This window comes from Homo sapiens, chromosome 10 (genome assembly GCF_000001405.40).
Source record: "Homo sapiens chromosome 10, GRCh38.p14 Primary Assembly".
NCBI lineage: Eukaryota > Metazoa > Chordata > Mammalia > Primates > Hominidae > Homo > Homo sapiens.
Genome location: NC_000010.11, coordinates 127,736,982 through 127,752,433, shown reverse-complemented (window position 1 = coordinate 127,752,433; position 15,452 = coordinate 127,736,982). Strand labels below are relative to the sequence as shown.

The window sequence follows — 15,452 nt, the reverse complement described above, 5'->3', positions numbered from 1 at the left end:
CTAAATAACTCATTAAACATAATGCTAAATATATACTTCTATCAATCATCTCACAAGAAGTTTTTCTTTTTTGCTTGAGACAGGTTCTCACTGTGTTGCTCAGTCTGGAGTGTGGTGATTTGATCACTGCAGCCTCAATCTTCTGGCCTCAAGCTATTCTCCTGCCTCAGCCTCTTAAGCAGCTGGGACTACGTTTATGCACCACCATGCCAGACTAATTTCTTTTTTATTTTTAGTAGAGATGAGGTCTCACTATGTTGCCCAAGCTGGTCTCGAACTCTGGAGCTCAAGTGATCCTCCTGCCCTGGCCTCCCAAAGTGCTGGGATTACAGGCATGAGCCACCATGCCCCACTACCAGCACTTTCACCATTGCTTTTTTCTATTCTGTCTTTAACTCATGCAATTTTTTTAAATTTTAATTTCAGAATGTTAAGAATTTATGTTAGTGTCCAAAAATTTTTAATGATCTTTTATTGTTGATTTCTAATTTAATTGCATTGTGATCAGAGAACATTATCTATATGATAAAAGGTTTTTTTTTAAATCATTATTGAGATTTCCACTTGGGACCTAGACTGTGGTTAACCTATAAAATAAACCACTATATTTTACTTGTAAAGACTGTATGTTATTATCATATTTGGTACATGCCTCTGTAGCTATGATATCACGTTTGGTAATTTTGGTGTTCAAATCTATAACCTTACTAATCTTTCATTTTTTTGTCTGCTTGATCTACTAGGTGAACGTGAGTTCAAGCTGACTATTCTGTGGATTTCTTCAATGGATCTGTTTCTGTCAGTTTTTCTTTATTCCTTGTTGTTTGCAATATTCCCATATCTTCCTTATGGTCAATTATTTTTATTATTATGTTGGTTTCTTCATTATCCATATTAGCATTTTTGACTTAAATTATATTTTTAAAAATTAACATCACTATAGCTTTGTTTTGGTTAGAATGTGCCTGCTATGTCTTCTTCTATTTCTTTGCTTTCAATTTTTTTTGAGGTCTTATTCTACATCTATTTCTTGTCAGCAATGTATAGCTAGATTAAAAAATACATATCCAATCCTCTGTCTTTATTAGAAGAGTTCAACAATTTATATTTGTTATGATTAATTACATGTTTGGACTTACTGCTATCATCTTACTTTGTTTGCTATTAAATATTTTTTCCCAATGTCCTTTTCTCTTATCTGATAGGTCAGGAGTAAGCAGTTATTTTCTATAAAGGGCAGATGGCAAACATTTTGGGCTTTGTGTACCAAGGGGCAGAGGCAAAGATGCACTGTGATACTTATACAACAACAGAGAAAACAAGTTTCCACAAAATTTGTATTGATGGTGTTCAAATGGTAATATATAATTATAATAGAACAAAGTTGAGGACAAAAGCTAATACTTCTAAACAAGTTTATTTTTCCTGGACCACTTCTGGGCACATTTCTTCAACTGCTGCAATCAAACATGACTTAATTAACTTCTCATGGGTAAATGTATTCCCTGCTTGGCCAACAAAGGAGACACTTGGAAACTTACTGTGGCCATAGCCTTTTTTCATTTTCTTTCTTTCTTTTACTTTTCTTTCTTTTTTTTTTTTTTAGAGATGTTTTTGCCATATTGCCCTGGCTGGTCTCAAACTCCTGGACTCAGGCCATCTGTCTGCTTTGGCCTCCCAAAGTGCTGGGATTACAGGTGTGAGCTACTGCACCCAGTCCATTTTCTTAACTCTGTAAAGAAATTTTGCTGTGGTAAGGGAGAGCCTGTTCTAATGTCCTTGTTTCCCTCACCATAGCTTCCATGAGAAGCAGTGTTGTGAAGGGTGCCTAGTCTGGCCATGCTGGCAGATAGTGGGTTCTTGGAGCTGCAGCATGACATCATTGCCTAAGATACACAAGGCTTAGCTTAGCCAGCTGACTCAGTAACAAAATAATCCATACTCTACCTTGCCTTAAAATTGCAACATGTGAAGTCCACTTTTTTCTTTTTTCTTGTTTTGATATGATGGGTAGGCACCAGTAAAAGAAAAGTCATGGCCTGTCAACACATGTGGCTGTTGACATGCTGTGCTATATGCCATAGGCTATAGCCACGGCTATATCATATATAGCTATATGCTACATGTCATATGCTATAGCGTAGCGTCTCAAGAGTCACATGTGTTGACAGGCCATGACTTTTGGTGACCTGTCCAGTATGGTTTCCATTCAAAACTTTCAGCGTATGGCCAGGAGAAAACCACGAGTCTCCTGATGGGGCTGCCCAATTCTGTGCATGTAGCACTAAAGCCACCATGGATTGCCTATAAATGAATGGGATTGCCATGTTCCAGCAAAACTATATTTATGGGCACTGGGATTTTAATTTCATACAATTTTTACATGTAATGATGAAATATTCTTCTTTTCAGTTTTTTTGTTTTTTGTTTCTGTTTTTTTGTTTTTGTTTTTTGTTGTTTGTTTGTTTTTTGTTTTTGTTTTTGAGGTAGAGTCTCACTCTGTCACCCAGGCTGGAGTGCAGTGGTGTGATATTGGCTCACTGCAACCTCTGCCTCCTAAGTTCAAGCAATTCTACTGCCTCAGCCTCCCAAGTAGCTGAGATTACAGGCACACACCACCACGCCTGGCTAATTTTTTGTATTTTTAGTAGGGATGGGGTTTCCTTATGTTGGCCAGGCTGGTCTTGAACTCCCAACGTCAAGTTATCCAACCGTCTCAGCCTCCCAAAGTGTTGGGATTACAGGCATGAGCCATAGCACCTGGACTTGGAGGTTTTTCAACCATTAAGAAATGTAATAACCACTCTTAGCTCATAGGCCATACGAAAATAGGTGGTGGGCCAGATATCATAAATAATTTAGAATTTCCTGCTGCAAATTTGTTCCATCTCTCCTGCTTGGAAGCTATAGATTGTATTCCTTTAGTAGTCTCTCTTAATTTTTAAAATCATGTGTACTATTTTTATAATAAAGAACAAAGTCATATTTCTATTTTTAAAACTAAATTATACTTGTTTATAGTAAATCCAAAGTTAATCATGTTTCTATCCTGTATTTGATCTTTCATAAGAGGACACAACAGACTAAGGTCTCCAGATCAGAGCTTTAGGACAAGGAACACAGCATTTCTCAGTCATCTCCATTTATTACATAGAAAGGCCATGCAGACAGCGGTGGGGAAAACATGAACTTTGGGGTCAGACAAGTCTGGCTTTAAATGTTAAATGTTGGTCCTCCCCATCCTCCCTAACTCATTTAATGAAGCCAGCATCATCCTGATACCAAAACTCGGCAGAGACACAATAAAAAAAAATTTTAGATCAATATCCCTGATGAACATCGATGCAAAAATCCTCAGTAAAATACTGGCAAACAGAATCCAGCAGCACATCAAAAAGCTTATCCACCACCATCAAGTTGGCTTCATCCCTGGAATGCAAGGCTGGTTCAACATATGCAAATCAATAAACGTAATCCATTACATAAAGAGAACCAAAGACAAAAATCACATGATTATCTCAATAGATGCAGAAAAGGCCTTCGACAAAATTCAACAGCCCTTCATGTTAAAAACGCTTAATAAACAAGGTATTGATGGAATGTATCTCACAATGATAAGAGCTATTTATGACAAACCCACAGCCAATATCATACTGAATGGGCAAAAACTGGAAGCATTTTCTTTGAAAACCAACACAAGACAGGGATGCCCTCTCTCACCACTCCTATTCAACATAGTGTTGGAAGTTCTGGTCAGGGCAATCTTCTGGCCAGGGCAATCAGACAAGAGAAAGAAATAGAGGGTATTCAATTAGGAAAAGAGGAAGTCAAATTGTCCCTCTTTGCAGATGACATGATTGTATATTTAGAAAACCCCATCGTCTCAGCCCCAAATCTCCTTAAGCTGATAAGCAACTTCAGCAAAGTCTCAGGATACAAAATCAATGTGCAAAAATCACAAGCATTCCTATACACCAATAACAGACAGAGAGCCAAATCATGAGTGAACTCCCATTCACAATTGCTTCAAAGAGAATAAAATACCTAAGAATCCAACTTACAAGGTATGCGAAGGACCTCTTCAAGGAGAACTACAAAACACTGCTCAACGAAATAAAAGAGGACACAAACAAATGGAAGAACATTCCATGCTCATGGATAGGAAGAATCAATATCATGAAAATGGCCATACTGCCAAAGGTAATTTATAGATTCAATACCATCCCCATCAAGCTACCAATGACTTTCTTCACAGAATTGGAAAAAACTACTGTAAAGTTCATATGGAACCAAAAAAGAGCCTGCATTGCCAAGACAATCCGAAGCCAAAAGAACAAAGCTGGAGGCATCACGCTACCTGACTTCAAACTATACTACAAGGCTACAGTAACCAAAACAGCATGATACCGGTACCAAAACAGAGATATAGACCAATGGAACAGAACAGAGGTCTCAGAAATAATACCACACATCTACAACCATCTGATCTTTGACAAACCTGGACAAAAACAAGAAATGGGGAAAGGATTCCCTATTTAATAAATGATGCTGGGAAAACTGGCTAGCCATATGTAGAAAGCTGAAACTGGATCCTTTCCTTACACCTTATACAAAAATTAATTCAAGATGGATTAAAGACTTAAATGTTAGACCTAAAACCATAAAAACCCTAGAAGAAATCCTAGGCAATACCGTTCAGGCCATAGGCATGTGTAAGGACTTCGTGACTAAAACACCAAAAGCAGTGGCAACAAAAGCCAAAACTGACAAATGGGGTCTAATTAAACTAAAGAGCTTCTGCACAGCAAAAGAAACTACCATCAGAGTGAACAGGCAACCTACAGAATGGGAGAAAATTTTTGCAATTTACCCATCTGACAAAGGGCTAATATCCAAAATCTACAAAGAACTTAAACAAATTTATAGGAAAAAACAAAAAACCCCATCAAAACATGGGTGAAGGATATGAACAGACACTTTTCAAAAGAAGACATGTATGCAGCCAACAGACACATGAGAAAATGATCATCATCACTGGTCATCAGAGAAATGCAAATCAAAACCACAATGAGATGCCATCTCACACCAGTTAGAATGGTGATCATTAAAAAGTCAGGAAATAACAGATGCTGGAGAGGATGTGAAGTGATAGGAACGCTTTTACACTGTTGGTGGGACTGTAAACTAGTTCAACCATTGTGGAAGACAGTGTGGTGATTCCTCGAGGATGTAGAACCAGAAATACCATTTGACCCAGCAATCCCATTACTGGGTATATACCCAAAGGATTATAAATCATGCTACTATAAAGACACATGCACACATATGTTTATTGCAGCACTATTCACAATAGCAAAGACTTGGAACCAACGCAAATGTCCATCAATGATAGACTGGATTAAGAAAATGTGGCACATATACACCATGGAATACTATGCAGCCATAAAAAAGGATGAGTTCATGTCCTTTGTGGGGACATGGATAAAGCTGGAAACCATCATTCTGAGCAAACTATCACAAGGACAGAAAACCAAACACCTCATGTTCTCACTCATAGGTGGGAATTGAACAATGAGAACACTTGGACACAGGGCGGGAACATCACACATCGGGGCCTGTAGGGGGGTAGGGTGCAGGGGGAGGGATAGCATTAGGAGAAATACCTAATGTAAATGACAAGTTAATGGGTGCAGCAAATCAGCATGGCACATGTATACCTATGTAACAAACCTGCACATTGTGCACATGTACCCTAGAACTTTAAGTATATATTTTAAAAAACTATATATTTCCAACAAATTTTTAAAAACATGTTTGTGAGAAAAAATTAAAAGTAGAGTTGTTACAAAAAAAAATGTTGGTCCTCCCCAATCCCTCCCCTTTGGGCAATTCACCTTACCATTCTGAGTCATAGTTTTTTATTCATTTGTAAAGCTAAGCTAGTAATACTTACAATGACTATGAGTTTTTATTAGAAATCATATCTATAAATCTCTGTTCTTATTAGGCACTCACTGAAATGTCCTCATCACCCTAACTTTACTCAAGCCAGTGTGCTGTATCTTAGAAACATTAGTTGCAGTTGTAGGTGTCTGCATTCCTCAATACAACAATCCAGCTCTAAACTTTTGCTCTGTCTTGGAGATTTCACTCAGTCTGTTGTGCAAGAACATTTATAAAGCAAGCAACACATCACCTCTAAATGGAACATCTCCATTTCTCAAAGGCCACAACACCACGTCTGGTTTCGTGAAAGACTGCTCTGGTGGATGGTAAACTGGACATCTCAGCAAAGACTCATCATTCTACACTCAGCTGTGCTGAAAGTCTGTTTTACTGTGGGCACCCCATTAGGCCATCAAGGGAGCTTTGATGTGCTGTATGAATGAGCCTGTGTGAAATCTGAGCTCGAGAGTGGGTCCCTCCTGCCAGGTCAGAATGTGCGAGCATCCATCTTACCAGTTACTTGAAAATGTATGGCTTTTTCCTGTTATAAATCTCATTTTAATTTTGTTCCTGCAGTGAATGCGGAGATATGGTTATGCGTACTAACAGCCTTACACATTCTAAACCTGAAAATGAAGAAAATATTCTCACCAATGATAACAAAAATAAACTTGCCGATAAAAGAGTATTATTGTTATGGATTCTTAAATTTTTATGTCTCAAATTTTCTTTCGCATACTATGTATATTAACTAGGGCATTGTAGAGAAATTAAAGCAACAGTGAATGACAGAAAGAAAAAGACTACGAGCAAAGTATCTCTTAAGAACTGCATAGCAAATGATTATTTAAGTTTTCCCTCTTCCTCCCCTTGCAATTCCTTTCTTAGATGTTGCATTATTTAAACAGTAAACCAAACTGTCTTTAATTTCCTCCAATTGAAATATACAACGTAGTGTATTCTTTTTAGCAAAAGGAAAAAAAAATTTTTTAAATCAAAGTAGTCAATATAAACAGAGCAAGGAGGCAGTCCTATACCATTCAGGATTACAAAAAGAACATAGAGAATTAAGCTCCACACTTTTCAAGAATGCTGAAACAGAAACCTTCCATTAAAGTATTAATTCTACTCACTCCAGAAGTCCATCTTTTCCCATAACCTGACCTGCCCTTAGGCTTCTCACAGTAAAGTGGTCTCAGCCCAGCAAAGGGAGGTTCAGTCAAAGCGGGTGGAGTTGTTTGGTTCAGGTGTCGAAGGGAACGAGTGCCTTAGGCAGATCGGAACCACCCGTGCATGCAGGTCTGGGGGCCTCCGTGCAGGTGATGGATTGCCAGACCGGATTAGGGGCCTGGGGACAGGCGACTCCTCAACACCTCTAGAAGGCAGTAAAAATGATCCCTCACAAGCATCTTCAATGCCTCTCTCATCTTTCAGTCTGATTGCGCCCTGGCCCTGTGAAAGGAGCACACTAGCCTGACTCCATTCCTGACCTCAAATTCTTCCTGCCTCCTTGGGAGCTAAGCCCTGTTCTGGATGAGGAGGTTTAGATCCAGGGAGTGCAGCAGGAAAGGGGAAGGGTGATCTGGAAAATGCTTGGACATCATTGGCAAATAACAAATCATCCCTCAGATAAAAATATACATGTCTGACCACTGATCAACACTTGAAAGCGGGGGTGTCAGCCTAGATTCTCAAGGACATAATTTACATGATCACGATTTCTTTCATGTTCAAAGTGAAACTTATATGGACTAACCAAACCCTACTGGCCTCACTGTCAACACTATCTCTGAATATTCCTATCCCCCAGCTCTGCGCCCACTACAAATTCCCCCAGCATGGCACACAGCCCTCCAGCATGGGTATTCAACAGCAATGGCCTTCTGGGCTTGGCCCACTCAGTGTTGTACCTACAGGGTCCAGCAGTAGGCCTGGCCCTGGGTAAGGAAGAATCACACCCATCATAGGAGTCTGGGGGCTGGGTGGTGGGTAGAAGGGTTTATGAAAAGCTGAGGGTGTAACTGTATTCACTCACACATGTACTCATTCAGTCATTCAGTCAGTCAGTCCATCGTTCAACTGCTACCACCTGTCCACAGTCTTCCTGGCTCTAGGGATGTTACTCTGGAAGAAAGCAAGCTGGTCCCTTCCCACATAAACCATAGGAGAAGAGGCAGGAAGGAACTTGGTCTTCTGTGGGTGTGATGCAATACATCCAAGGCCCCAAGAACACACCAAAGGGCACTTAACTTGGACCTGGATTGTCAGAAGGAGTCTGGAAAAGTGAGGTCTCTCTAGCACCTGAGGGATGAAGGGGGAAGCAGAAAAGTCAGGAACAGAGAGTAGGAAGGCTGCTACTGACGTAGCTCAGTATTATCTGTGGCCTCTGAGAAACAAGTCAGTTAACTTGTCTGAGCCTCAGTTTCCCCATAAGTAAAATGGGGATGATAATAGGGGCATCACTGGGTTGCTGTGAAGGCTTAATGAAAAACGCACAGGAAGCATCTAACAGAGTCCCTGACGCTTTCCTTGACCTTCAATCTGTCTGATGGATGAATGGGTGACTCTTAGGGGTAGAGAAAGACTCAATGACTTGTAAGTTTAATTTGCTCTAGATTACAGCAGGGACGCAACTCCAATTTTCTTTTCTTTCTTTCTTTTCTTGGTGAAGGTCCAATTCAATATACTATTTATTGCCCTCCATGAAATGGGTGAAACTAAAGATATTTTTAATTCTTTGTGTTCAGCCACTGATGAAATCTGACCAAAGAAAGTAGTTTATTGCAGGTACCCAGGGGTTAGCCCTGAATAACGTTGATCCGCAAATTTAAATTAGATTAAAAGAAAAGAGCTCTAAAAACTTTAACCTATAGATGGACTGCACACTCAGAAGCCCTGGGGAAGGGCCAACTCTGGTCACATTAATTGTCTCCCCTGTCACTGCCAAATGACAGATCTTCTAATATGAGGACAGGTTTTAAGTTTCCTAAATGACACTGTGGAAAAGTGAGCAGATGGGACCTACACCAGCCCGGGGCAGTGCTTAACTCCCTGCCTAAAATCACAAAGAAGTTATGAAACTGAGAAATCAAACACTTCCTGAGTTAGCAGGGTGTGGAACACACTGGGGTCTGTATATAAGACACAATATGTTACTTGTGTTAACAAGTGAGATGGTTGATGACTTGATCATCTATAAGTAATCCTTATAGAGCCAAAAAGCCACGTCCAGCCTGTAATTGCTCACTCATCTTTGTTCCGACCACTGGAAGGAGGCTCTGTGAGGGTAGCAACAGGCTCAGCTTATTCACTGCATGACTTAATACCACATAGTTAACACTCAAAAGAGATAGACTGAACAAGTCACATTTTATTAGGATACAAGTGACTCAACCTCTATTGCATTCTGTGGCGGTTCCACATGTTTCTCTCCTACCTGGAGTCAAATCCTGAACTCAAAGGGTTATTTGAAAATACTATGCCTTTAGGTATGGAGGGTAGGGGGTGTAATCTGTGGCTTTTCCCTTGAAGATCCTACCCAAGATGGGGTTTGGTGGTGTGTGTGGGGTGTGTGTGTGTGTGCGTGTGCGCGTGTGCGCATGTCCATCAATAGGTGCATTTGTGAATATGAGCCACGTAAAAGTTGCAGGTGCATCTGAAGTCCCTTTTAGCTCTCATCAGTTTAGCTTCTGGAGATCTTTTAGCCCCTTGACTCAGCTTTTCTATCTGCAAAATGGGGATGAACTTCAGTGTTCTGTTTCACTGAAGAGAGAGTTCTAATAATTACTATAATGGTATTTCTTTGAATGAAAAATGTCACTTGACCAGCAGATACATTTTAGAAGACTAAAGATTGAAGGTGGATTAATATCCCAAGGCAGCATTGCTAAAATGCAAAACTTTTTCATCAGAAAAAAACATACTCAATGTTTAATCAATATGTGAAATATCTTGAAATCCAATGTTCACTTTTTAAAACACTATATATGGCACTTTACAAAACATTTCTAACAAATGTTGAGTCTTCTTCATGAATGGTTCTTCTTTGTATGGGGATAATTGACCCAGTGACCAAAGGTTTCTAGGACAGATTACAGTTTCCTGTATTATTATTCTCTTTCATTTTCAGTCACTAGGAAATTACCACTGCTGCTTGGCAATGCAAAGAATTCCCAATCACCCAATATTTTGGCATGTTTTAATTGTCTTTCACCTCTGAATTTTGAAGCTTGCTTCTATATTTGAAACTATTCAGTGCCACCAAGTTGTTTATTCAGACTAAGAATTGGATATTCCTATGGCACACTGCCACGTGCCTATGCCACGATGCAGAGGTTTTCCTTTCATTGAAGTTTCACAGTTACTTTTGGAATTGTCTGCAGGATTCACGATTTCAAACACACACACACACACACACACACACACACACAAGACAGGGCAGGGGAGCAGATGGGATCTGAGTGCCACAGTGGGCTCAGAACCCCGGGGTTAGAGCACCCTCCTAGCCACCTGGCAGCAATGCCCTGGCCTGACCAACAGGACCACGTCCTTCTGCTGCCTGCATTCAGTGAGCTCTAGGGACTGTGGTCAAGTTCACCAAGCCCTGGCCAGAAGAAAGTATTTAACCATAAAGTGACCTCAAGCTGCATTTTTTTGTTTTGATTTCAACAGTTTCTTTGCTATGGGAAAATGTTTCTTTGGGATAATGAGTCTGAAGCTGACTGTGCCATGCCTGGGCCTATGAAATGCATTTTGGCCTGGCTTCCCCTCTCCTAAGCACATCCAGGCATGTGGGCTGTTTTGGAGGAGAGAATGGTTTGGCCATCTAACCCCACCCATGTCCAAATACCTTGCACTGCTGGAAGTATTTTTAACCAAGCTTTTCTCATGAAGATTTCACCTATTTGTTTATACTATTACCTACTAATGGTATAAAGCTTTGAATAAATGAGCAACTTTCAAACGGTAAAAAACGATCTTTGGGCAACAAACCAAAAGTTGAAAAATCTTAAATATTTTTTTCTCAATTTTAACATAAATACCATTGTTAGAGAAAAAAAAAAAGCAGCTTCCCAACATCTAGCAGTCATGCAGCCATGACATTCCATGTTTACATCCACACGTGTCAGCCAATTTTCTCAAAGCTCCACTGATTGTCCAATTGTCCATTGCATTTTCCAACTGTTGTCAAATTTAATTAGGAAAAGATCTTTCCAAGTTTCCTGCAAGTTCAGACTCTAAAATGGGGATGTTTGTCATAGCAGTGGAATTCTTATACGAAATAGCATACACATGCCAGCTATGTATGTTATATTGGTCTTTATTTTTAGCATTTCATTCTATTAAAATAGGTTCAAGGGATACTTTTTAAATGTATAAGCTAAGGAATTTATTTTCCTTTCCTGGTCTTCTTTAATTGTATTGCTTATGGGGAGTGTCCCCCCAAGAGAGATTGCGGGTTGGTTGTGAGTTTAGTTAGGCGACATCATCACCTTCAACACAACTGGCACTCTGCTCACCTGCTTGTGGAGGGCAGCAGCAGAGATGGCACGTGGAGTTAGGAGCCACTGCTGATGAAACATATGACCAGGGCCAGGTTTATCCCAACTCCTGGCTCCTTCTCTCCATGTTCCCCCGCCTCCTTCCTTCTCCCTCCCTCTCTGTCTTACGCACACACGCACACACACACACACACCTCACTCTTCAGCAGGGCCATGATGAGTCAGCTCTAGGGACAGTCAGGAGCCCTGCTCTCATTTCCAGCACTGGTGGCAGCTGCAGTGAGGGGCCCTGCAGGCAGATCAGGAATACCTGCGTGGCTGGGGCTTAGGATTGCTAAACCAGCCTGTCCCACTCCAAAGTAACAGTAACCTGTCTCCACTCTCTTCCTGGGAAGGACCCCTCCCACCCTCCCCCAAAATGCAGGGAAGATAGGTACCCCCATCAACAACAAGGTGGGTACCCCCCCCCCACCAACGTCTCCATCTCCAGGGAGTCCCAGATGCCACAAAGACTCAGGGCATCTGACTGGGGCACTTAGGTCCTCTAAGGAGTACAGAGGCCAAAAAATTCCTCTTCCCAGTGACTGGGGGCTCCTTGTCCTTCACAAAGATACCATCCCTAAGAAGGAACTGGGTGGGGCAGGGTTCAATTTACACAGGAGGCTGCTGTTCAGGAGCTCTGAACACACGCACAGCTTTGGCTCAAACTGTGGGTTTGGAGGGGAAAGAGACCAAAACAAGTGTGGCCTTCCATGAGCCTGTGTGAGTGTGGGTGTGGGTGTGGGTGTGGGTGTGGGTGTGGGTGTGGGTGTGTGAGTATGAGTGTGGGTGTGGGTGTGAGTATGAGTGTGGGTGTGTGTGGGTGTGAGTGTGGTGTGAGTGTGGGTGTGAGTGTGAGTGTGGGTGTGAGTGTGAGTATGAGTGTGGGTGTGAGTGTGGGTGTCAGTGTGAGTGTGGGTGTGAGTGTGGGTGTCAGTGTGAGTGTGGGTGTGGTGTGAGTGTGGGTGTGAGTGTGAGTATGAGTGTGGGTGTGTGTGGGTGTGAGTGTGTGTGGGTGTGAGTGTGGGTGTGGGTGTGAGTGTGTGTGAGTGTGGGTGTGGGTGTGGGTGTGAGTGTGGGTGTGAGTGTGGGTGTGAGTGTGAGTGTGAGTGTGGGTGTGGGTGTGGGTGTGGGTGTGAGTGTGGGTGTGAGTGTGGGTGTGAGTGTGGGTGTGGGTGGCACAAACCTGGACCCTTGGGGAACTCCTGGGTGCTGGGCACCGCTCCTGTGGTCAGTGGTGGCGGGGCCCTGGGGAGTTGCCTTGTCCTAGAGGGGGGTCATCAAGGACCAGGGCTGAGTGACAGGGAAGGGAGCTGGTATCCCAAGGGCGCTTTCTGCCCACGCAGTGCTTCTCCCTCCCACCACCAGCAGTTCCAACCATTAGCAAGACCTTCCTTACACAGGACCCAATGCCAACTGTCTCAGATCCCCTCACTGCAGGCTCCTGGCCCACCTGGAGCCCACTGCAGCTGCTCCTGAGCTCTGTCCCCCAGCCCCTGCGGCAGCTTCCCTGAAGCAGAAGGGAAGGCCCTGAGCCAGGTGGGCCAAGCTGGGTGGAGGTGGAAAGGGCCCCCACCACCTGGGCCGCTCTGGCAGCCCACCTTCTTCCCATCTGCTCTAAGGCTCTTTGGAGTCAGCCAGCCTCCTTGGAAAACGCTGGAGCTGAGGGCCGACCCGCCGCCCCTTCAAGGCAAATCCCTCGAGAGCACAGGTTCTAGACGCCCAGGGCGGCTGGACTTAGAGGCAGAGCAGGGAGGTTCCGAAGGTCGCCTGGGTGAGGGGTGCACAGCAGAAGGGCCACCCACCCCAAAGCCCAAGAGCCGCTCAGCCCAGCTCCCTGCTGGCCGAGCCGCCCCCGGCTCTGCGCTTCCTCCCAGGGCACCAAGGCCTTCAACGCCAACACGTGGGGCTGTCACCAGGGGAAACCGGAGGCCTGAGCTCAGCACCTCTGGACCCGCACCCGGCTAGCCTCCAGCCTCCCTTCAAACTTCGGTCCCTTCCCGGCTGTAGAGGAGGTGACTGAGGCGGAAGCCGGCGGCCGCGGTCTGGTGGCCAGGGGCGAAGCCAGGGGAGGGGTTAAGGGTCTGGGGAGCGTGGGTGGCGACTGTCGGTGGCCGCCTCCCGAAAGAAAAGTCGCCCGCCAGGCCCCCGGGGAAGGTGCCAAGGCCGCCAGCCAGAGCGCTCATAGCAGAAGCGAAACCGGAGAAGCAGGTGGCGGCCTCGGGTGCGGATGGAGAGGGCGAGGCCTGCAGGTCCAGGCAAGCCGCGCTCGGGGGCTCCAGCGCTGGCGCCTCGGCCCCTCCCACGCTCCTGGCTCCCGAGCGCACGGCCGCGCTGGCTTCAGCTCTCCTCTTCCTCTTCCTTCGGAAGTTCCCGTTGTCAAACATCTTCTCGCAGTTGGGGTCCAGGGTCCAGTAATTGCCTTTACCTGCAGAAGAAGAAACAGCCCAGTTCAGAAGGTTCGAGCTTTGACGGGCCGTGGTGTGAGCCAGCGAGGAGGTCAGCTTCAGAAAGATCCCCTGCTGGCCCTTACAGAGGGTCTGAGTCCTCGCCCCCATTCCACCCTTGACGGGCACTCTGTACCCGATGGGCCTCCACAGCAGGACTGGGAAGAAAGTGACAATCCAGAAAGGAGGAGGAAGGGAGCCCTGGGAAAGGCCGAGCCCCGTTAAGGTGAAGGAAGGCCTGCGAGATGCTAATGGTGGGACTCCGCCAGCCGCTCTGCCAAGGACAGCGCAGACCACGCCAGGCCCCCAGGTAGGCTCCAGAGCTTTCCAAACGGGCATCCTATTTGTTTTGCCCATCCTTGGGGTAGGCGCTGTCTTCCCCATTTTACCAGGTAGGGCACTGAGGCCCAGGGAAGTTGAGTCACTCCCAAGGTCACCCAGCTTGCTGGCTCTCCCGCTTCTTCCTCCGAAGGAGCGCACAGAGATTGAGAGCCCCGGGACCGCCGCACTGTAAACGCGGGCCTGTGGTGGGCTCAGCCGCTGTCTGAGAACCTGTCCATGCCCAAGCACTTCTTCCCCTTCTCCCTCCTCCCCGGGTATCCCCAACCGCGCAGGGAGAAATTAGGTTGTCTAAGGTGCTCCCACCCCCGGAGTGCCCGCGGCCCGGCGGGAAGATGGGGAGTCCTGGACGGAGCGAGCCGGCGCGCCGCTGTTACCTGGGTCGTCCTCGTCGCGGGGCACCTTCTTGAAGCAGTCGTTGAGCGACAGGTTGTGGCGGATGGAGTTCTGCCAGCCCGCCTTGCTGCGCTTGTAGAAAGGGAAGTTACCAGCCACGTACTGGTAGATCTGGCTGAGCGTCAGCTTCCGCAGCGGCGCGCTCTGGATGGCCATGGCGATGAGCGCCGAGTAGGAGTAGGGCGGCCGCACCAGCCTCAGCAGCTCCTGCTGGCCGGAGAGGCTCAGCCAGGCGAGGTCGGCGCCCGCCAGGCCGCCCGGGGCGCCGAGGAGCGGGCCGGGAGCCCCGTAGCTCGGGGCCGCGTAGGGCGGCGCAGGCCCGGGACCCGAAGCGTAGGACTTGGGGCTGAGCGCTGGCGCGTTCACCCACAGGAGGGGGCCCCCGCCCACCGCGCCCAGATCCCCTGGCTCATAGCCCGGGGGGTGCGCGGTGGCCTGGGCCTGGCCGGGCGGGGCCGAGGAGGGGCCCAGGTCGTCGCAGTAGGTGGCCATGTCCAGCCGCGCCCGGGCCTGGGCCAGCGGTGCCGCACCGAAACTCACTGGCGACCCATCCAGCTTGGCCGCCAGCAGCGCCCGGGTGCGACCAGCCCGGCCCAGCCCTCCGCCCTTTAAACACCGTCGGGGCCAGAGCCCATGGAGAGTGACGGTGGCGAGCCCCTCCCCTGGCAGCCCTGGAGGAGCGAAATCCTTGTCCTCGCCCTGGTGTCAGTTTTCCGCCCCGCCCAGGCCTGACACGTCCTGGACCGGACGCCCCTCTGATTCCCCCTTCCTCCTTTGTGCGATC

General features: G+C 45.9%; 1 protein-coding gene across 1 annotated transcript; it reads right to left on the bottom strand.

Annotated features, from left to right (window-relative positions):
- Window positions 1-11,250: 11,250 nt before the first annotated feature.
- On the bottom strand, window positions 11,251-15,249 carry FOXI2 (forkhead box I2). Its single transcript, NM_207426.3, has 2 exons — window positions 14,650-15,249; window positions 11,251-13,914 (listed from the first exon to the last, which is right to left on the bottom strand). The coding sequence occupies exons 1-2, from the start codon at window positions 15,158-15,160 to the stop codon at window positions 13,469-13,471; spliced, it is 957 nt and encodes a 318-aa protein (NP_997309.2). The 5' UTR covers window positions 15,161-15,249; the 3' UTR covers window positions 11,251-13,468.
- Window positions 15,250-15,452: the final 203 nt, after the last annotated feature.